Source organism: Homo sapiens, chromosome 16, assembly GCF_000001405.40.
Source record: "Homo sapiens chromosome 16, GRCh38.p14 Primary Assembly".
Classification (NCBI taxonomy): domain Eukaryota; kingdom Metazoa; phylum Chordata; class Mammalia; order Primates; family Hominidae; genus Homo; species Homo sapiens.
The window spans coordinates 72,654,552-72,677,491 of record NC_000016.10 but is presented as its reverse complement, the minus strand read 5'-3'; the positions used below and the strand labels follow the sequence as shown (position 1 = coordinate 72,677,491).

The following is a 22,940-nucleotide window of genomic DNA, read 5'->3' as shown; positions in this document are numbered from 1 at the left end:
CTAATTCCTTTTTTTTTTTGGTAGAGATGGTGTTTTACCATGTTGCCCAAGCTGGTCTTGAACTCGTGAGCTCAAGTGATCTCCTCACCTCGGCATCCCAAAGTGCTGGGATTACAGACGTGAATCACCACACCTGGCCTGAGTACATTCCTTTCTATTCCTAGTTTACTCAATGTTTTTCATCGTGGGATGTTTCCAGATTTTTCAAGTACTTTTCTACATAAATTAAGATCATGCAATTTTATTTCTTTATTAATGTGGTATATAAAATGATTAAATTACCTATGTTGATCCACCCTAACTTTTTTGGGATAAATCCCACTAGGTCATAGCGCATAATCTTTTAAACAGGCTGCTGGATTTGGTTTGCTAGTATTTTGTTGAGGATTCCTGCATCTATATTCATAATGAATATAGTCCTATAGTTTTTTGTAATATCTTTGCCTGGCTTCAGTATCAGGGTAATACTAGCCTCATGAGTTAGAAAGTGTTTCCCACCTCTTCAATTTTTTTGGAAGGATTTATGTTAACTCTTAAATATTTGGTAGAATTCATCAGTAAAGTCATGTGATCCTGGGCTTCTCTTTGTTGGGGGATTTTTTTTTATTTTGATTCAATCTCTTGTTATAGGACTATTCAGTTTCTATTTCTTCTGCGATCAGTTTTGGTACTTTGCATCTTTCTAGGAATATGGCCATTTCAACTAGGTTATCCAATTTGTTAGCGTAATATTTGTTGGTATACAACTTTTCATAGTATTCTCTCACAATCCTTTTTCATTTCTGTAAAGTCAGTAGTAATGTCCCCATTTTCATTTGATTTTAATAATTTGAGTTTTTTCTTAGCCAATCTAGTTAAAGGTTTATCAATTTTATCTTTTCAAAGAACCAGGTTTTGCTTTGTTAATTTTTCTGTCTTTCTATTCTCCATTTCTCTCTGTTCTCATATTTATTATTTTCTCCCTTCTAGCTTTGAGTTCAGTTTGCTCCTTTTTTACTCATTCCTTAAGGTATATACTTAGGTTATTGGAGCTCTTTCTTCTTTTTAAATGGAGACATTTATAGCTATAAAATTTCCTCTTAGCACTGCTTTCCCCACATCCATAATTTCTGGCATATTGTGTTTTAGTTTTCGTCTCATAGGATTTTCTAATTTCCCTTGTGATATTTTTCTTTTCATTTCTTTTCAAAGAGGGAAGCCCTTGTGATTTCTTCCTTGACCCATTTGTTATACAGCAGTTTGTTTTTTGAATGTCGCATAGTTGTGAATTTTCCAGTTTGCCTTCTATCAGCGATTTCATTTTTCTTTTCTTTTTTTTTGAGACACAGTCTCACTCTGTCGCCCAGGCTGGACTGCAGTGGTACAATCTCAGCTTACTGCAAGCTCCGCTTCCAGGGTTCATGCCATTCTCCTGCCTCAGCCTCTGGAGTAGCTGGGACTACAGGCACCCGCCACCGCACCCAGCTAATTTTATGTATTTTTTTTTAGTAGAGACGGGGTTTCACTGTGTTGGCCAGGATGGTCTCAATCTCCTGACCTCGTGCTCCACCCGCCTCAGCCTCCCAAAGTCCTGGGATTACAGGAGTGAGCCACCACGCCCGGCCTTCTTTCTTATTTTATTTGAGACAGAGTCTCACTCTGTTGTGGATAGAGTGTGAGATCTCAGCTCACTACAACCTTTGCCTCCTGGTTTCAAGTGATTCTTGTGCCTCAGCCCCCTGAGTAGCTGGGATTACAGGTGCCTGCCAAAAGATCTGGCTAATTTTTTAAAATATTTTTCATAGAGATGGGGTTCCACCATGTTGGTCAGGCTGGTCTTTAACTCTTGACCTCAGATGATCCACCTGCCACGGCCTCCCAAAGTGTTGGGATTACAGGCGTGAGCCACCGTGCCCAGCCCCTAATGAATTTTTAAGATAGAAATCATACAAATTATCTTCTCCAGGAACAATGAATTGCTTGAACCTGGGAGACGGCAGCTGCACCGAGGTGAGATTGCACCATTGCACTCCAGCCTGGGCAACAAGAGCAAAACTCTGTCTCAAAAAATAAAAATAAAAATAAAAACTTATTAGGACTTCCTTTGGGGCCTACCATATGGGATATATCCAGGAGAATGTTCCAAGGGCACCTGAAGAAAAATGTGTATTCTGCTGTTACAGGAAGTGAAGAAAAGTGATCTTTATGTCTCTTAGGTCTACTTGGTTTATGTTGTTGTTCAAGGCCTCCATTTCCTTATTGATCTCCTGTGTGGTCGTTGTTTCAATCCATTATTGAAAGTGAGATATTGAAGTATCCAACTACCACTGTAGAACAATCTATTTCTTCCTTATATTTTATCAATATTTGCTTCATATATTTCAAAACTTTGCTATATATGTTTATAATATACTCTTGACAAATTCAACCTTTTATAAAGAAATAACGTTCTTTGTTTCCTGTTAACTTTTTGGCTTAAAGTCTATTTTTCTGGCTGGGCATGGTGGCTCATGGCTATAATCCCAGCACTTTGGGAGGCCAAGCCAGGTGGATCACTTGAGCCCAGGAGTTTGATACCTGCCTGGCAACATGGTGAAATCCTGTCTCTACAAATAATTTTTTTTTTTAAATAACAAGGTGTGGTGGTGGCACATGCCTGTGGTTCAAACTACTCAGGAGGCTGAGGTAGGAGGATCATTTGAGCTTGGGAGGTTAAGGCTGCAGTGAGCTGTGACCACAGCACAGCACTCCAATCTGAGCGACAGAGCAAGACTCTATCTAAAAAAAAAAAAAAAACAGTCTATTTGGCCAGGCACGGTGGCTCGCGCCTGTAATCCCAGCAATTTGGGAGGCTGAGGAGGGCAGATCACCTCAGGTCAGAAGTTCAAGGCCAGCCTGGCCAACATGGTGAAACCCCGTTTCTACTAAAAATACAAAAATTAGCTGGGTGTGGTGGCAGGTGCCTGTAATCCCAGCTACTTGGGAGGCTGAGGCAACAGAATCGCTTGAACCCAGGAGGCATGGGTTGCAGTGAGCCAAGATCATACCACTGCATTCCAGCCTGGGGGACAAGAGCGAGACTTCGTCTCAAAAAAAAAAAAAAAACACATAAAAAACCCAGTCTATTTTTCTGACACTAATATAGCCACCTCAGCTTTCTTTTGATTACCACTTGCATAGACTATCTTTTCCTGTTCTTCTACTTTTAACTTCTTTGTATTGAAAGAGAGTCTCTTGTAGACAGTATATAGATGGATTGTGTTTTTCCAATTCTGACAATATTCGCCTTTAATTTGCAGAGTTGAATTCAACTACTTTCAAAATAATTACTGATAAGGACTCACTGCTATCATTTAGCTATTTGTTCTCTATATATCTTACATGTTTTTTGAACCTCAATTCCATCATCACTTAAAAATATATATATTTAGTTAATATTTTGTAGTGTACCATTTTGATGTGTGTGTATGTTATTTTCTTTGTGGTTACTGTGGGGATTACAATTAATATCTTAAAGTTATAATGACCTAGTTTGAATAATGTCAACTTTGTTTCAATTATATATATATATACACACACACACACACTATTCCTATACACGTCCATCTCTATATTGTCACAGGTAACATATTTTTACATCATATACTATTAACACAAATCTAAAATTATTGTTTTATGCATTTATCCTTTAAATTACATAGTAAAATGAAACATCACAAACCAAAAATACAATAATGCTTTTATATTTACTTGTGTAGTTACCTTTACTAGTGTAGTCACCTTTACTAGTAGTTACTTTTACTAGTGTTATTTGTTCATATGGTTTTCATTTCAGCCTGAAAGACTCCCTTTACCATTTCTTGTAAAGCAAGTGTACCAGTAATAAATTCCCCCAGTCTTTTCATCTGAAAATATAATAATTGTTTCTCCATTTTTTTTTTAGGAGTGGAGGGTGCTTCCAGTGAAGACTAGGAACCAGTTAGACAAATTCTAAAAGAGCTGTCCTACTTTTCTCCACTCTTGAAGGACAGTTTTTCCAAATATAGAATTCTCAGTTATTTTCTTTTACTATTTTAAATATGCCATCCCACTTCCTTCTGGCCTCCATAGTTTTTGATGAGAAATCCACTGTTAATCTTATTGAGGATTCCTTGTACGTGAAGAGTTAGCTCCTTTTGCTTTCTAGATTCTCTTGCTTTGTAGAATTTGAGTATAACATGTCTTACTGTGGATCTCTTTGACTTCATCCTGCTTAATGTTTAAGTTTTTGGATGAATATATTCATGTCTTTCATCAAATTTGGGAAATATTTGCTCTGTTTTTTTCTCTCTCATCCCTCCTGACACTTCCATGATGCATGTGCTGGTATGCTTGATGGTGTCCCACAAATCCCTAAGGTTCTGTTCCTTTTTTTTCATTCTTTTTCCCTTCCGCTCTTTAAATTGCATAATTTTAATAGCCTTATCTCATGTTTGGTAATTTTCTCTTTTGCCTACTCATATTTGCAATTGAACTCCTCTGGTGAATTTCCATTGAATCTACTGTACTTTTATGTTCAGAATTTCTATTTGATTCCTTTTTTATAACTTTTATCTTTTTATTGATATGCCCTATTTGGTTGTACATTTTTTATTTTTATTTATTTATTTTTTTAAGAGACAGGGTCTTACTCTTGTGACTCAGGCTGGAGTACAGTGTCAGTTCAGCCTCAAACTCCTGGGCTCAAGGGATCTTCCTGTCTCAGCTTCTCAAGTGGCTAGGACTACAGATATGTGCCACCAGACCTGGCTAATTTTTTTTTTTTAATTTTTGTACAGATTGGAGGTCTTGTTATATTGACCACACTGGTCTCAAATTTCTGGCCCCAAGTGATCCTCCCATCTTACCCTCCCAAAGCACTAGGATTACGGGTGTGCATCACTGTGCCAGGCCTTATACATTGTTTTTCTGATTTTCCATAGTTCTTTGTCCATAGTTTCCCTTTAACTGATTAAGCATTTTAAGAGAGTTGGTTTAATGTCTTTGACTAGTAACTCCAATGTTTAGTATTCCTCAGAGATGGTTTCTGTAAAACTTCTTTTAAAAAAAAAAATTCCCATGAATGGGCTATACTTTTCTGTTTCTTTATATGGTGACTTTTTTGTTGAGAATTAGACAATTAGACATCTTGAGTACTATAACGTGGTAACTCTCAAAATCAGATTCTACTGCTCTTCATGGATTGCTCATTTTTGCTTGCTTAAGGCTGCAGTATTTTATGTGGATAAAGAAGTTTCTCTTCTGTTATTGCTGTAGTCAGGCACTGACCTGACAGAGATTTAATTAAATGTATGGATCCAAAGAGAGAGAGAAAAGAGTGTGTTCCTTTACATTTTCTGTTAGTTGCCATGAGAAAGCTGCTACAAGCCAGGGGGGCTGAAAAATAAAAAGTGTCTTTGCTGGTTCCTTAGGGAACTGCCAGACTGACCAAATGCACAACTCCTAAAATTTGTAGGAAAAGTTCCTTACTGCCACCCCTGGCAATAGCCAGCTACTCCAGAAATGCAGACTACTATCCCCATGGCTGCAGCAGGGTAGAAGAAAGGGGATTGCTAGCTGTATTGCAATGAAATGTTATTGCATTTCAGTTATACTTTTCTTCATCAAGCACTCCTCAGGTTGCTGTAAGTGTTCAATCAGTTTCCAGAGTTCTAAAATAGTTGATAATACCTTTTTCACATTTAGTGGTTGTTTTGTTAGAAGACCAAGCTCTGAAACTTCTTATTCCACAATTTTCCAGGATATCACTCTTCTTTTTCCATAGTCACTGATGTGACAGTAAAAATCCACCCAAGATGTACAACTAGGTGCATTTTCACAAGAAAGCATTTTGAGAAGAAAGGCAGGCAATGGCCATTGAACCATCTTTTGTTTTTTGAACCATTTTTAAAAGGAAAAAGTTGTGTCATCTAAAAATCCAAGAACTATGTGTATCTAGATTTGAAATTTGAGAGTCTTTGTCATTGTTAATTTCTGTCATGTGGTTCATCCAATTCTTCTCTTACAACATGTAGGCCAAGAACTTAGAAAGAGATCCATTGTTCCAACAGAGAGAAGGCTTACGTTTTAAGATGTCTTTATTTTTGACATAAATTAAATGTAAATCTTATTAAAAAATAAAAGTTGTCTATGCCAAAAGGTTACAATGGTTAATCCATTTATATAATATTCTCAAAATGGCAAAACTGTAAACCTGGAGAATAGACTAGTGATTTGCAGGGGTTAGCAGCTGGGGTATAGGAGGATCAGTTGTGGCTATAAAAAAATGTGGCATGAGGAATACTTGTGGTGACTGAAGTTCTACATCTTGAATGTAGTGGAGGTAACATGAATCTACACATGATACAACTGTATTGAACTAAATGCACACACACACAAATGCATGTTAAACCTGTGAATTCTACATAAGGTCACTAGATGTCAATTTCTTGATAGTGATACTGTACTATAGTTATACGAGATATAGTTACCACTGGGGGAAACTGAGTGAAGGATACAAGAGATCTTTCTGTACTATTACTAACTGCAACTACATGTAAATCTAATATTTAAAAAATAAGCTGTGGCTGAGTGTAACAGTATACAATAAATCATCTCTTCTGCTGTCTTAGCTGAAGAATTGAAAAAAATTTTCAAGACAGAAAGTTAAAAAAAGAAGCCTTGTGAGTTAAATGCATGTTGAGAAAGAGAACGGGCCTGGAAATAAGAGGACTGCTTGTTTTGCACTAAGTTGCTCAAGCTTTCTGCATCTCATCTGTAAAAGGGACTATCACAATATTGTTGAAAAGACTATATGAAGAATATATTTAAAAGCACTGTGAAAATTGTGATACGTGTCATTTTGAGATTTTTGATAACAGTATTTAACATTTACTGAGTGTTTTTATGTGTTATGTGTTATTCATACTACAAGATCTTCTAATAACCCTAATTTTCTAATAACTTAATCTTCTTGATAACCCTATAAAAACATCAGACAACTAATCCCATTTGACAGAAAAAAAAAACTTAAAAATTCAGAGCAGTTAAGTAAATTGCATAAGGTCATTCACTTAATAAAAATAGCTACCATTTATTGAATGCTTTATATAGTTGGCACATACTTAACATTATATCATTTATTTAATGTTATAAGGCAGGTGTTATTATTTTCCATTTTATAGAACAGGACTAACTTAACCAAGGTTGTATACACAACTTGTAAGAGGCATGCCAGATCTTTTATATAGTTGACCACCACAGTCACTATCTACTTATAAATAGCTTATAAGACTGGCATATAACATGCAATGTTTATAAAACTAGTTTGTTGCTAAACCTAGAAAAAATATTATTTTCCCTCCAACTATTTTTCTTCTTTAAAATTTAAAAACTCCATTCCTCAAATTACCTTTATTCTTTTGTTTTCTTCTACTTCTTAAAAAGAGGACTTTTAATCAATTTTATTAATTCATTTCTTTTACCTTCCCCTACTATTCAAGAAGAACCTTACAAAAATCTATGTTTGGCTAATAATGAATGATTACTATTAATTTTATCACGGCCATTTTATCTCTCACTTTTTATTTCCTTTGATTCTGCTCTTAAAATTATTTTGTTATAAAAAATGGAAGTCTCGGCTGGGCACATTGGCTCACGTCTGTAATCCCAGCGCTTTGGGAGGCAGAGGTGGGTGGATCACCCGAGGTCAGGAGTTCGAGACTATCCTGGCCAACATGGCGAAACCCTGTCTCTACTAAAAATAAGAAAATTAGCCAGGCATGGTGGCGGGTACCTGTAATCCCAGCTACCTGGGAGGCTAAGGCTGGAGAATCTCTTGAACTGGAGAGGCGGATGTTGCAGTGAGCCGAGACTGCGCCATTACACTCCAGCCTGGGCAACAAGAGCAAAACTGTCTCAAAAAAAACCAAAAAAAAAAACCTCTATGAATTACAAGTAACTTGAGGGGTCACCTCTTTGTTATAATAATTTCTCACTCTTTTTTCCACATTATAAATTATGCTTAATCACCTAGGTTTGATTTTGCTGTGAATTTATTCTTCAACTCGTAGAAACCCCAACATTCTATAGAACTTCTTCTATTCAACAATACAGATACAGGTCAATTCCAGAAACCTCTCTACATCCACACAACCCCTGTATTTCTTATTCACCTGCTATAAATATTATTTGCTTGAGACTCTTGTTTTTGGTTTCTGCCAGTTTGTTTTTCTTTCCACTTTGTTTCATATGCTGCCTCTTTCAAGGTCTCTAAAAGGAGAAATACTCCCTCAATTCTCTGTATAACCATTTTCTTTTTCTTTGATCTCTTAGAAATCTTTATTAAACAAAGATTTTCCAATTTTTTCTTCACTCATACCTCTTTTCCAGGCTCTTAAATGACATTTCTTACTTGCCGAATTAATGGCTTATCATATTCCCTGTCGCTCAAGATTTAATCTTTAGAATTCTTTTTCAATAGTCCCTCTTCCCTACTCACTATGGTTAATAGATCAGTGTGTTCTTAAATCGAGGTTTTTAATTTAAATAATCTAAATCAAAATCATGAAGAAGGGTTGTTAAAAATGCTAGATTCATGTGCTTTACCCTGAATTAGCTGAAAAGGTTTTCAAGGATAGATCCCAGAAATCTTTTTAAATCAACAACCCATGTAAGACTTAGGCATACTACATTTTGAGAACTACTGCATTATATCAATTTTCACCTAAGTCTGCTCATTCTACCTTCTCAGTGTTTCTCATCCATTTATCTCCTATTGTCTCTACCCTAGTTCAGGGCTGCTTCATCTCTTAGCTGGACATCTGTAATAGGATTTTCCTGCCTTTAGGATATTTCCCACTTTAATTCATCCTACACACTGGAGTCTTATTAATCTTACTAAATTGCAGCTCTGCTCATTTAATGTGACAACAATTTACTGAGAGCATACTATATACTAGGTGCTCTAGGGCAGTAGATTCTAAATGGTGTGATCACCAGATTTATTAAGTGAGGGAAAACTTTTCAAAATAGAGATCCTCCACCACCTCTCCAGGCCTACTTAATTACAATCTTCAGAGCTAGAATTAAGACAAGTTTCTTTTTAAAAAGTTCCCCAATTGACTCCTTTGGGTAACACTAGATGCTTTTGAATAACATTAGACTGGAACAAATAAAGATTATGACATTCTTGTGTATTTCAGAACGTACTGGGAGGGATATGAACATAAGCAAATAGCTACCATATAATATGCCGATTAATGATATATTAGAGGTACCAAGTGCCATGAAAAGATTAATTCGAACTGCATTAAATACCTTCAGCACCACACCCAGCTGGATGAAATCTGTTTGTCCTGTAATCTTCCATAGCACTTTATCTATAATCCTCTTATGGTCTTCTTTCATCTTGCTCAATAATTATTTTTTTATTTGTCTCATTTCCTCTACCCTTGTACTTGAGGCCACAGTCTTGGTCTTTGTGGTGCATGTAGTCTGACAAGAAATTTTTTTTGGAGTTCAAATTTATTTACACGATAAAGTTACACAAAAAATTAAATTTTGTAAAGTTAGGTATTTAATAAATGATCTCAAAAATAGGTCCTTGTAACTCTAGGATATATGTAGCCAAACGTATGGATCTTAATCCCTGCATGGCACTTAGTACAGTTCCTTTAACACAACAAGTACTCAATAAAAAAAGCTGTGCATAAACCAATGGGGTCTGGGAAAAATGTATTTGGATATGCAATAAAAATACTTAATATGTCCAATATCCACCATCAGGTTATGATTCCAAACGAAGTAACATGGTGGTGGTTTTTGCAAACTGATAACCTGTAAGTCAAAACCAGCCAAACTGTTTTGTTTGGATGGCTCGGGTGGGGATGGAGGGTTGTTTACAATTTTAATTTGAATGTCTTCTGTCTGGGCAAATATACTTTGAATTGCCACAGGCCCTACCACTTCCTATTATCTTACACTAATCTGACTTACACATTTATGCTATCTATAGGTCTAAAAATGGGAGTTCTGAAAGGTGACAGATAATTGCTCCCAATCATTTCTGCTTTTTGAGTCTTGGCTACTGTTATGGCCTTGAGTCTCCCCAAAAGTTATATGTTAAAGGTGTAACCCCTAGTACTTCAGAAAGTAACCCTATTTGGAGATAAGGTGTTTGAAGAGGTAATTAAGCTAAAATGAGGTCTTTAACACGGGCCTAAATCCAGTAGGGTTGGTGTGCTTACAAGGAAAGAAAATTTGGACACAGGTGTGCACACACATGGAGAAAACAGCACATGAAGACAAAGAGATGAGACAGTGATCTGAGTCAAGGACAGAGACCTCAGAAAGAAACCAACCCTGCTGATACCTTGATCTTGAACTTCTAGCCTCCAGAATTGTGAGAAAATAACTTTCTGTTGTTTAAGCCACCTAGTCTGTGGCATTTTGTTATGTTTGCTCTAGCAAACTAATATGGATCTCAACTATATTTAGTATTAATCTTGGCAGTTTTACATCAAAACTTATTTGTTCAAGTCTGTCTGCCAGGTACATGGTGAACACAATTCTGAGTAGTTTAGGGTTTAGATGATGCAAGTTATATGTAAGATATATTCATAAACATAAATAAGAAACATTATAAAGAATACAAAAAAATGCCAAATAAAGACTATTATAGGCATTCAGGAGGGAGAGAGGTGACTATGGACTAGGTCACAAAAGATTCACAATTTGACCTGGGTCTTAAAAGCGTAAGTAGGATTCAGCCAAGCTGAGGAGAGAGGACATCAAGGAGATAACAGTGAACAATGCCAAATACATGTCTACTACCGGAGGAAATTTATTTTTCTCCTTTTAAGTACCTCTATGTTCAAGTTTCTTTTCTGTGCTTTCTAACCTCTAAGATCACTATATATTTTTAAATGAATGGTGTAAGTCCTTACAAAATTTAGGCATTTTTTTTTCTTGTCAGATAAATAACAGTTCAACTGACTTTGTTCAGTACAACACTGACATCCAAAGGATACTCGGGTTCATCTGAAGGCCTCTTGGGCTTCTGCTGAGTTGGTTTGATTTTCAAATGGTCTATGTAGGCAGTAAGCTGCTCATGGAACATTCTCTTTTGAAACCCTGGGCATTTTTTGATCTCTTACCCATTTATCAAATCTCATCACATTAAATGGCTCCACAATGCAGGTGGCCTGTGTTTTCCTAAGTGCCTCCTCTTCTTAAGAATGTATTACTCAGTTCATTAATGTTTCATACTTAAGTATTCTGTGTATTTAATTTTTTATTTAATGAAATTTCTAACCTTCAGGCTGACGAATTATTCAGAATGTTTCATCCAAGCTGTTGGAAAAGTGCTCATTAGCAGGGAGTTTTGAAGATGGAATTTTAAGAAAGGGGTTGGCAGGATCCCAAACACATATAGATCTAAGCTTTCATAAATGCTTCCCTACCTTAGCTATGGAGGAAGAAATTGTTGATAAGCAGATAAGTTTTGCTTTAGTTTTTACATTTTAGTGACAATAACAATGATTTCTGTGGTCTGATAAAAGATGTTCGTTTAAAGAGTTATCTGCAGAAAGCTGTGTGGTCACTAATGTTTACTTTCATTGACAAATGAGATCGTCTTGTGTGGGACTATCATCATCAAATGAGACACAACTGAAACTAAAGCAGCCATGCTTACCATTCGGTTTAAAATTTTTAAAATTAAAATAATGCTCCTAACGAAAGGAGTCTCAGCTGAATTAGTTTGAGTGTTGGCATGGACTGGGCTCAAATCACCTGCTCATCTTTAACACCTGCCTTCAGATTTATGGGCGATTAAGAACTTAAGTCTGAGAACCTATGAGACTGTCACAGAAAATAAAATTTCAGTTCTTCGTCCATTAACTGGTTCAGATGAAATTTGGGGTCAGAAACAACCAGAACGTTAAATTTCATTGTAAACTTAAATCGCATTCAATGGTTAAAGACTACAAAATGTATGTAGTGCAGTTAAAAAACCTCACACAGCAAGAGGTTATTGAATGTTTAAAGATCCAAAATTTCAACTTTTTGTGGTTAAGTACAGTTATGTTGGGTAACAAAGTTGACAGCAGGTTTCTGTTACCCCCCTGTTGGAGGAGGAGGAGGCGCTACCACACGCTTACCTTAGGGAAATAACGTGCACTTTATAACCGTTCAGGTAAATCGTTGGGTGAGAAAGAAGAATAAAGGACACAGCCGGTGGAGGGACCCCAGCACACAGTCCCGTGGGTGCTCCGGAGGAAACGGCCGCAGCCCCAAATCTCCTAGTCTCTCTAGCAGGGAGTTTTCCCGCGGAGTCTCGCCTGGCGGCCGGAAGCCACCTCAAGCCGCCCACCCGGAAGCCGTCGTCTTGGCAACTGGGTATCGTCCCACCCCCTTTTCTTAGCAACGCCTATCGCCTTAGACGTCTGAGGTCAGCCGAGCCTCGATTGGTTCCTCTGTCTTTCACTCTGGGAGACGTTTGAGACCCAGCGTCTCTAGATCTCGTATTTGAATTTGTGGCGCTTGGTGTCCGCGAGTTGCCGAATGAAGCTGAGCGTCTCAGTGGAACCAGGGATCTCAGGGGTGAGCGACCGCGAGGGGAGAGCGACGAAAAGGGCGGCCGGAGCTGGAGGGGCGCGGAGTTAAACAAAAAAGGGCGGCCGGAGCTGCAGGGGCGCCGAGTTAAACACGTCATTTCCAGATGGGGGGCTTCAGGCGAGCTGCTTAGCTCCCCTGAGGCAGGCCCTCCGTCTGTTCGCCTTTTCGTAGCCTCTGAGTTTTTCCCTCACGTCGTTTTCCGGCAGTCCCAGAGACGCCACGCCTGCCCCCGTTCTGTTGCCCCTGATGGAAGGCTCCTCTTAACGCTACCTTCCCTCTTTCACAAAATGTCTCTCAGCTTCCTTATTTCGACGTGCTTACACCTCCCCCAAGTATAATTCACTCCCCACTGATGTCTTTGGTAGTTTCATCCTCGTCTTCATCACTAATACTATGAGACACGGGGTGCGTGCACTTGACGATGTAGAAAAATGGTTTTCGCGCAACCTGGTGAGCGTCCCACACCTCACAAATTGAATCCAAAAAATTCCTTATTCATAAAAGATGCTGCTGTCCTACTCTTCCCGACCGGGAATATCATGACGTGGAAAGCAGCAAGTGACAGCGTTTTATAAAGCGCTACAAAAGTAAGCTATTGATGCGTTCACATCGGAAACATAATTGTTTTGTTTTCGGTCGGACCCTCTGGATCCATAGGTTTCGTATTGGGTTTATGGATACTGTTCAGACTTTGAAATGAATAATGCCAAAAGTTACGTTGGAGGACAAACTGAGGATTGATCCCAAGCACAAAAGTAACCACTGATTAAAACCTTCTCTTCATTAACCTTTAGCTTCTTTGTCTATTGTGATACTTCTCCCACCCCGGTGGATTTAATTTCCATTGAGATTTATGAACATTTTAGGAGTTTACAGTCTAAATAGACAGCTTTCCCCACCTCTCCTGTATATGACCATGAAAATCCTCTATTAACTTTCCAGTTTGATAATGCAGTATGAGCTTCTATATGCTTAGCCTCTAGAACAGAGATTCTTTTGGGGGTGGGGGGTCTTAGTCCTGTTTAAGACCCAGAGGAAAACCTTGGAGCTTTTCTCCAGAATATGACACATACACACAAAATTTTGTATTAGTTTTAGAGAGTTGTATTTTGTTTTAGTAGAAAAGAGATCTGACTTTGTTGCTCAGACTGATCTCCAGTGTCAGCCTCCCAAAGGGTTGGGATTACAAGCGTGAGCCGCCGAGCCCAACCCTGTTTTAGGGAGTTTTAGATTCTGTTTTGAAATGTGGATATTAGTGGGACCCCAGTCCAATTCTACACGTTTATTTATATATATACACACACGTATGTCTATATATATAATTATATATATTTACATAATATATATCTATGTATATAATTTTTTTAAGTAGAAATAAGCAGCGAAACAGTGTTTTAACTTCTACCGAATGGCTGTCATTTCTTAGTTTTAAGACTTGTAGTTCGGAGGGAGGTGGAATGAGAAGGCTGAAAATTTTACATGAGCTCTGATTTAAGGATATTAGAAAAGTCATTTCTAAGTGTGGCGGTCCACGCCTGTAATCCCAACCAACACTTTGGGAGGCTGAGGTGGAAAGACTGCTTCAGCCCAGGAGTTCGAGACCAACCCAGGAGTTCAAGACGATAGTCGGACCCCATCTCTACAAAAAAATTTTAAAATTAGCCAGCCGTGGTGGTGTTCGCCTTGCTCCCAGCTACTCAGGAGGCTGAGGTGGGAGGATCACTTGGGCCGGGGAATTCCAGGCTGCAGTGGCCAATGATCGTGCCTATCTCCAAAACAAACAAACAAAAAACAGAGAGATAAAGGTAGTAAGGTAGTATATGAGCACAGGGGCATACCAAAAAATAAGTTCACAAGGTATTGCATCCAGAGTCTTTTTGAATTAACAAGAAATAGGAAAATTCTTGATCAACATGAAGAGTGAAAATAGTTTGTGTGCCTTAATTTTTTGGATGTTTTATATTAAAATAATTTTATGGTGAATTCTACCAGCATATACCTGAATATAATCTCATAATCTTCTTCCTAACCATCTCAGGCATTATCTTTCACATGAGAACATTAGCTTACCTGAAATTTGCTTTTATATATGATGTGAGGAATGGCTTTAACTAAATTTTTTTTCACTGTTCGGTTGCCATTTTGGGGAGATTGGTCTTCAGTTTTGCTTTATTTTGATTGTCTGGTTTTAGAATTAGGGTAATGGTGTCTGACATCTTTAAGTGATCTGGGATGTGTTGTATTCTTTACTTCTTGAAAAAGTTTGTATAAGATTGGCATTGCATTGTTAAGTGTTTGATAGAATACATCCATCTATGTAGATCCATATTTTCATAATTTTCCTTCAGTTTGAATAACTTCATTTATTTAATACTGCATGTAGGTGAAGGATTCTGTCAGTGTTTGTTTCTTAGAAAATGTTTTTATTTAACTTTCATTTTTGAAAGATTTATTTTTAAACTGGATATATAATTGTAGGTTGACTTTTTTTAGCACTTTAATATTCTATTGTCCTCTGGCTGTTGTTTTTAGATATTTGGTGTCATTCTTATCTTTGTTCTCCTGTATATAATGTCTCCCCCAACCCCATCCCACCTCACCCTCACTTTTGAAAAAACAAAGTCGGGCATATTTAGTCATAATTTGCATATGGTAAAGTTGACTCTTTTAAGGAATACTGTTCTATGAGTTTGGACAAATGTGAAGAGTTGTGAACTATCACAATCATTTTTAGTATATCTGTAAGTCTGTAAAGTCTCATGCACTTATTATCGATTTTCTATCCTCACCATTGGTCCCTAGCAACCCTTGATCTGATATCTACTGCTATAGGTTTGTGTTTGGAGGCATCATGTTAGTGGAATCACATAGTATGAGCTGGTAGTGTCTGGCTTCTTTCACTTGATATAATACTTTCAAGATTCATCTATGTTCTTGCATGTATCACTAATTTTTTCTTTTAATGTGTGAGTAGTATTCCATTATATGTATTACCAGTTTGTTTATCCATTCAGCAGTTAATGGGCTTTGAGTTGTTTCCAGGTTTTGGCTGTTAGTAATAAAGCTGCTATAAACATTTGGCTACAGGTGTTTGTGTGGCCAAAGATTTTAATTTCTTGCTTGCTTGCTTGCTCTTTGCTTTTTTTTTTCCTCTCTATTTTTGTTTTGTTTTGTTTTGTTTTGTTTTTGAGGTAGGATATGGCTCACCATAACCTCGAATTCCTGGGCCTCAGCCTTTTCAAGTAGCTGGGACTACAGGAGCATGTCACCAGGCCTAGCTAATTTGTAATGTTTGGTAGAAAAAAGGTCTTGCTATGTTGTCCAGGCTGGACTTAACCTCCTGGTCTTAACCTCCTGCCTCAAGCAATCCTTCCACCTCAGCCTCCCAAAATGTTGGGATTATAGGTGTGAGGCACCATGCTCAGCCTTAATTTCATAAAATACTTTAAAACCTTTTTCAAAAGTGGCTGTCCCATTTTGCATTCCCATCAGCTGCATATGGCAGTTCCAGTTATTCAACAGTCATATCAGCCCTTGGGGTTTATAGTAGTTAGTAGTTTAAATTTTTTAAACTATTGCTCTGGGTCTGTACTGATGTCTCATTGTAATTTTAAGTTATATTTCTCTGATGCTTAATGAAATAGAGTAGTCAGTCATTCATCCACTTGTTATCTGAACGTCTTTTGTGAAGCATCTATAAAAATGTTTTGCCCTTTTTTTTTTTTTTTTTTTTTTGAGATGCAGTCTCACTCTGTTGCCCAGGCTGGAGTGCAGTGGTGCGATCTCAGCTCACTGCAGCCTCCTCCTCCTGGGTTCAAGCAGTTCTCCCACCTAAGTCTCACGAGTAGCTAGGATTACAGGCGCACGCCACCATGCCCAGCTAATTTTTGTATTTTTAGTAGAGACATGGTTTCACCACATTGGCCAGGCTGGTCTCGAACTCCTGACCTTGGGGATCCACCTGCTTTGGCCTCTCAAAGTGCTGGGATTACAGGCGTTTGAGTTACCATGCCTGACCTGTTTTGCCTATTTTATTTGGTAGTTTTATTGAGGTACAATTTACGTACAACAAATTTCATATTTTTAAAGTGTATACTTTGATAAGTTTTGACATGTACCCATGAAACCATCACCACAATCAAATTAATGTACATCTACAACATGGCTGAACCTTGGAAACATGTTAAGTGAAAGAAGCCAGTCACAAAAGGTCATATATTGTATGATTTTATTTATAAAAAATTTCCAAAATAGGCAAATCCATAGAGATAGAAAGTAGATTAATGGTTGATAGGGGCCAGGGCAGGGGAGAATGGAAAATTACTGCTAATGAGTATAGAGTTTCTTTTTGAGATGATGCAAATAGTCTGGAATTAGATAGTTGTGGTGGTTGCACAGCTTTATGAATACTCTCAAAACTATGAATCGTACACTTTAAAGGGTGAATTTTATGATATATAAGTTATATCTCAATAAAGCTGTTGTGAAAAAGAGAAAAATAACTCTAGTTGTGATCTAAGGGGCTGTTCAAAAAGCAATGTTTGTAATAGTAGAAACATGGAAACTAAATGTCCATCAGTAGAAGAATGATAAAAATGGTTGTATATTCTTAAAATGAAAGTGATGCTATTAAAATAATGAAGCCAAACAGTATGTATCAATATGATATATCTCACAATCATAGTTAGAGGGGAAAAACATTGCAGAAGAATCTGTAACAGATATAATACAGAATTAGCATTTAGAAATATGTAGAATAGTATATAGTTTAGTAAAGGTATCAAAAATGCATGGGGATCATAAACATCAGCTTCCAGGTGGTAATTAGCTGTGGTGATAATTTATGGTACATGTACCTGGTGTCGGTGGGGGAAAGAGAGGGGGAATGTTATTAAGGAAGTGTTCATAGAATGTTTCAACTATACTGGTAGTGTTTTATTAAACTGCGTGATAGATATACAGAAGTTATTTTTATTTTTAGAATATTTCAAATAATTTTATAAGAATATTTGCAGGACACAGCAAAATGATAGTAGATGATTTATCCCATGGAAGGGATAAACCATCAAGATAAAGATTTTTCACTTACAAGAGTAGCAACATCAAATGTAGAACTGAGGCTGAGCGTGGTGTCTCATGCCTGTAATCCCAGCACTTCCTAAGGCCAAAGCAGAGGATCCTTTGAGCCCAGGAGTTTGAGACCAGTCTGGGCAACATTAGGAGACCATGTCTACAAACAATTTAAAAAATCAGCCAGGTGCAGTGGCGGATGCCTGTGGTCCCAGCTACTCTGGAGGCTGAGATGGGAGGATGGTTTGAGCCTAGGAGGTTGATGCTGCAATGAGCTATGATTGCGCCACTGCACTCCAGCCTGGGCGACAGAGTAAGACTCTTTATCTGTTCTGCCATAGTAACAGAAGAAAAGAAAAAAAACAAGTAGAACCAAGGGCAGACAAGAACCAACTGAAGAAAGGATGTTAGGGGAGGCCTGATTTGCATACATGAAGTCATAATCATGTAACTTCTTTTAAAGTAGTTGTGGTTTCCTTTGGGTATATTACACCAAGCAAAAATGTAAAGTATGATGACCTGGAAGCAATTTCACTAATGCATATTTTGCAAAGTGTTATTACTCTCAGAAGTCAAATCAATGCCTTCTAGGAGATTTTTGAACGATATAAAATAGTCTCAGAGGGAGGAAACAGTAAGGATGTGGAGTGTGAGGAAAAACCTTAAGGAGATCATTCTTACATGGCATGGGAGCTCTGTTTTAAGGTAATCACCTAGTCAGGAAATCCCCCAAGAAACAGATTACACAGCTGAAACAAGGAGGTACTTGAATGATTTCTAGTTCATAAAAAATGTTATTGATATCAGACCCCATTCTAGTATCAAGGAATTATGAAGCTTTGATCCATGTCCTCAAGGAGGACAGAAATTTATTCTAACTATACCATCAAGCCTGTTTCCCGGGAAGAGAAACTTCTGTACAGAGGGCTTTTTAGGAGCTGTGAGTTCGGGAGTCTAGGATCATTTAAAAAGCATTACCCAGAGATCTATGAGGGACAAAGGAAGCTCAAGGGATTTCCAAAAACCCAGACCTACAGAACATGGACAGGGATTATAAGAACTTTTAATAGCTTCTTAAATTTAAAGACATTCTCTCTGGTGGGTTGAATTGTGTCCCTCAAAAAGGTATATTCAAGTCCTAACCCCTAGTATTTGTGAATGTGACCCTAATTCAGTGACTGGTTTCTTTATAAGAGAAAGGAGGCCAGTCACAGTGGCTCACACCTGTAATCCCAGCACTTTGGGAAGTTGAGGCAGGAGGATTGCTTGAGCTGAAGAGTTTGAGATTAACCTGGGCAACATAGCGGGACATCATCATCTCTACTAAAAATAAATAACAACAACAAAAAAATAACCAGGTGTCCCAGCTACTCTGGAGGCTGAAGTGGGAGGGTAGCTTGAGCCCAGGAGTTTGAGGCTGCAATGAGTTGTGATTGTGCCACTGCACTCCAGCCTGGGCAAAAGAGTTACACTCTGTCAAAAAACAAAACAAAACAAAACAAAACAAACAACAACAACACCAAAAAAAAAAAAAAAAACCAGAAAAGAGAAGGGAGAGGGAAATTTGGATACAGAGACCTAGACATACACACACACAGGGAAAGAGGTCATGTGATGACAGAGGCAGAAGTTGTAGTTGTGCAGCTGCAAGCCAAGGAACAAAGAATCACCTGCAATTCTGCACCAGAAGCTAGGGAGAGGGTAGGAAGGATTCTTCCCCAGACACATCAGAGGGAGCCCCAGACACATCAGAGGGAGCACAGCTGTGCTGAAATCTATCTGCACCTTAATTTCAGATTTCTAGTCTCCAGAACCCTGAGAGTTAAGTTTCTGTTTCAAACCACCTATTTTGTTTCAATTTGTTACCACAACCCCAGGAAACATACCTTCTTCACTAGGCACTACCTAGTTCCCTGTAGCAATTAGTAATAAAACACTTAAAATGAAAATGACTGCTAGGCTTGCTTGGTGGGGCATAAAGAACAAAATACAACATTGGGGGATGTGTGTCCCTATTCTGTAGTCAGTACTCAAGAAATAGAAGTACCAAGAGTAGTTGGTGACAGCTTTGGGGAAGAAAGGAATAAGACTTGTTTTTATTTATTTATTTTTTTAAGGTATACAACATGATTTTTAAAAATCATTTGTTATTGAAGTAAAATACACATATATAATTTACCATCTTTACCATTTTTAAGTGTACAGCCCAGGGGTAATATATATGTTTATATTTTCTTTTTCCTCTTCATTTGCCCCTCCCTCCTTCCCTTCCTGGCCTCTGGTAACCAGCAATGTATTCACTATTTTCATGAGATTCACTTTTTAAGCTCCCACATATGAGTGAGAACATGAGATACTTGTCTTTTGGTGTTTTGCTTATTTCACTTAACATAATGGCCTCCAGTTTCATCTATGTTGCTGCAAATGACAGGATTTCATTCCTTTTGATGGCTGAATAATATTCCATTGTGTATATATATCACATTTTCTTTATCCATTCATCCATTGATGGACAGTTAGGTTGATTCCATACCTTGTCTATTGTGAATAGTGCTGCAGTAAACATGGAACTGCATATCTCTCTGATATATTGATTTCCTTTCTTTTGGATGTATACCCAGTAACGGAATTGCTAAATCATATGGTAATTCTATTTTAAGTTTTTTGGCAACCTCCATACTGTTTTCCATAGCAGCTATGCTAATTTACTTTCCTACCAACAGTGTGTGAGGGTTCCCCTTTCTCTACATCCTTGCCAGCATCCGTTATTGTCTGCCTACCTGTTTCTCTGGTAGAGTAGAGCCAGCATATGGCAGACATACCCTATAGGAGTTTCCTTTGTTACTATGTGTGATCCTCAAGGTACGACTTACCCATTCCTCAGAGTGGCTCATGCCAAGCATTTGACCTTACTCTCAAAAACAGTTACCATTGCTAAGACATACTCTCAAAAGTAATGATCATTGCTGGGAAAAGATAATAAATAGGAATAATAGCAACAGCTAACACTTATTGGAACTTACTGTTACCTCATTTGATTCTTTTGCCACACTCTGTGCTAGGTACTATTATCTCCCTTTTAGAGATGAGGAATTGAGGTTGCTAGAAACTTGACTTATCTATCCCCCAACCCCCCTACCTCAAAATTTAACACCTCAAAGAAAAAAAAATCACCCTGTCTCAAGAGAATAAGGAAAACAAGAATTCAGGCATCAAATAGTACTGATTAACAAGCATATGAGATTCCGAATTTAGACCTGTTGGATAATGGAAGAGTCAGTGTAGATATTTTAATTACATGTTCTGAAGTTGAACTTATGCAACAAGTATCTTGTAGCTGCTATAGAAATAAAAATGTGATTTCTCAGTTATTCTATGAAGATAATAACTCATTTACTACATTTTATTAGTTTTGTTCTCACTTAAAAAATGGATTAGAGGCTGGACGCAGTGGCTCATGCCTGTCATCCTAGCACTTAGGGAGGCCGAGGCGGGTGGATCACTTGAGGTCAGGAGTTAGAGACCAGCCTGGCCAACATGGTGAAACTCCGTCTCTACCAAAAACAAAAAAAATTAGCCAGGCATGGTGGGGCATGCCTGTAGTCGCAGCTACTCAGAAGGCTGAGGCAAGAGAATTGCTTGAACTGAGGCAGGGTTGCAGTGAGCCCAGATCGTGCCAATGCACTCTAACCTGGGTGACAAAAAGAGACTCCGTCTCAAAAAAAAAAAAAAAAAAAAAAAAAGATGGATTGGAAATAGTTTTTTTAACTTAAAAAGTATATCCTCAAATGTTTTAAACCCACAGTTTTATTTTTTCAGGAAATAAAGATAAGTTTTCTTGTTCCTGCAATATGGAGAAAAAGACAACCAAAAATGCTATTCCTTACAAACACCTATATATAGCATATGAGGCATTAAAAAAATAAGGGAAATCCCTAGGGTCTAGAAACAATCAGGGAGCTGTAGGCTCATAAAACTGCTGATAGGAAAGAGTTATAGGTCTCACTGTTCAAGAGGCTTGGGTTTTAAAGTCATATAGCCTCAAGAGATAAGGTCTTGGGGTCCTTAAGAGTCCAGTGGTTAGAAATGAGATGCCTGCAGTTAGACCTCTTAACATCATCACGGATATATTTGTGTTTAATCCCAGCACTTTGGGAGGCCGAGGCGGGTGGATCACCTGAGGTCAGGAGTTCAAGACCAGCCTGGCCAACGTGGTGAAACCCCATCTCTACTAAAAATACAAAATTAGCTGTTTGTGGTGGCGTGCACCTGTAATCCCAGCAACTTGGGAGGCAGAGGCATGAGAAACTGCTTGAACCCGGGAGGTGGAGGTTGTAGTGAGCCAAGATCGTGCCACTGCATTCCAGTCTGGGCGACAGAGCAAGACTCCCTCTCAAAAAAAAAAAAAAAATGTAGGCAGGGTGCAGTGGCTCATGCCTGTAATCCTAGCACTTCAGGAGGCTGAGGTGGGTGGTTTGCCTGAGCTTAGGAGTTCAAGACCAGCCTGGGCAACACAGTGAAACACTATCTCTACTAAAATACAAAAAATTAGCTGAGCGTGGTGGCGTGCATCTGTAATCCTAGCTACTCAGGCGGCTAAGGCAGGAGAATTGCTTGAACCTCGGAGGCAGAGGTTGCAGTGAGCCAAGATCGTGTCATTGCACTCCATCCTGAGCCAGAGAGCAAGACTCTGTCTCAAAAAAAAAAAAAAAAAGTACACACCTTATAATATTTTATGTTCATTTATTCACACTTGTTTTTTGCTACTGTGCATTTTAATTCTCTATTTTTGGTGCCTTTAGACATTAATATTATTATTTTATACAGCCAATAATTGCTTAGATTTACCGTTTTTGTGGCTCTTCATTCCTTTCTGTGTCTTCTAGCTTCCCTTGGTGGGATTATTTCCCTTCTGCCTGAATAATGCACTTTAATATTTATTTTAATGTGGATTTGTTGATGACAAATTCTTTTTTATGCCTGAAGAAAAGTCTTTATTTCACTGTCATTGATGAAGGGTATTTTTGCTGTTTATGGATTGGCATATCCCTTTGAGGATGTAATTCCATTGTCATTTGGCTTCTATCATTTCTGTTGAGAAGTTAGCTATCAGACTTATTTTTGTCTGATAAAATAATAAAGAGAACTTGCCTCCTTGGCTTCTTTGAAAGTTTTCCCTTTGTCTTTGATTTTCAGTAGTTTTAATGATAGGCCTATACATATATTTTTTTCCAATATATATATATTGTTTATCC

At 37.9% G+C, this 22,940-nt stretch overlaps 2 long non-coding RNA genes and 1 pseudogene across 8 annotated transcripts in view, besides 3 other annotated features; 1 reads left to right on the top strand and 2 right to left on the bottom strand.

Moving 5' to 3' along the window:
• ZFHX3-AS1 (ZFHX3 antisense RNA 1) overlaps window positions 1-12,359 on the bottom strand; it is a 156,522-nt gene extending 144,163 nt beyond the window's left edge. For all 4 annotated transcript variants that reach the window (NR_171702.1, NR_171703.1, NR_171704.1 and 1 more), the window contains exon 1: window positions 12,159-12,359. This is a non-coding gene — a long non-coding RNA (ZFHX3 antisense RNA 1). The remainder of the gene's footprint in view (window positions 1-12,158) is intronic.
• On the bottom strand, window positions 3,928-3,989 carry RNU7-90P (RNA, U7 small nuclear 90 pseudogene; annotated as a pseudogene).
• Window positions 12,522-22,940, top strand: part of LINC01572 (long intergenic non-protein coding RNA 1572) — a 384,069-nt gene continuing 373,650 nt past the window's right edge. For all 4 annotated transcript variants that reach the window (NR_126330.2, NR_159371.1, NR_159372.1 and 1 more), the window contains exon 1: window positions 12,522-12,600. This is a non-coding gene — a long non-coding RNA (long intergenic non-protein coding RNA 1572). The remainder of the gene's footprint in view (window positions 12,601-22,940) is intronic.
• Window positions 12,561-12,620: an enhancer, noted in NCBI's record as "active region_11100". NCBI's record gives its function as "activates an Ori minimal core promoter by ATAC-STARR-seq in GM12878 lymphoblastoid cells {active_cell/tissue: GM12878}" and the evidence as "EXISTENCE:reporter gene assay evidence [ECO:0000049][PMID:35858748]".
• Window positions 12,661-12,780: an enhancer, noted in NCBI's record as "active region_11099". NCBI's record gives its function as "activates an Ori minimal core promoter by ATAC-STARR-seq in GM12878 lymphoblastoid cells {active_cell/tissue: GM12878}" and the evidence as "EXISTENCE:reporter gene assay evidence [ECO:0000049][PMID:35858748]".
• Window positions 19,670-19,729: an enhancer, noted in NCBI's record as "active region_11098". NCBI's record gives its function as "activates an Ori minimal core promoter by ATAC-STARR-seq in GM12878 lymphoblastoid cells {active_cell/tissue: GM12878}" and the evidence as "EXISTENCE:reporter gene assay evidence [ECO:0000049][PMID:35858748]".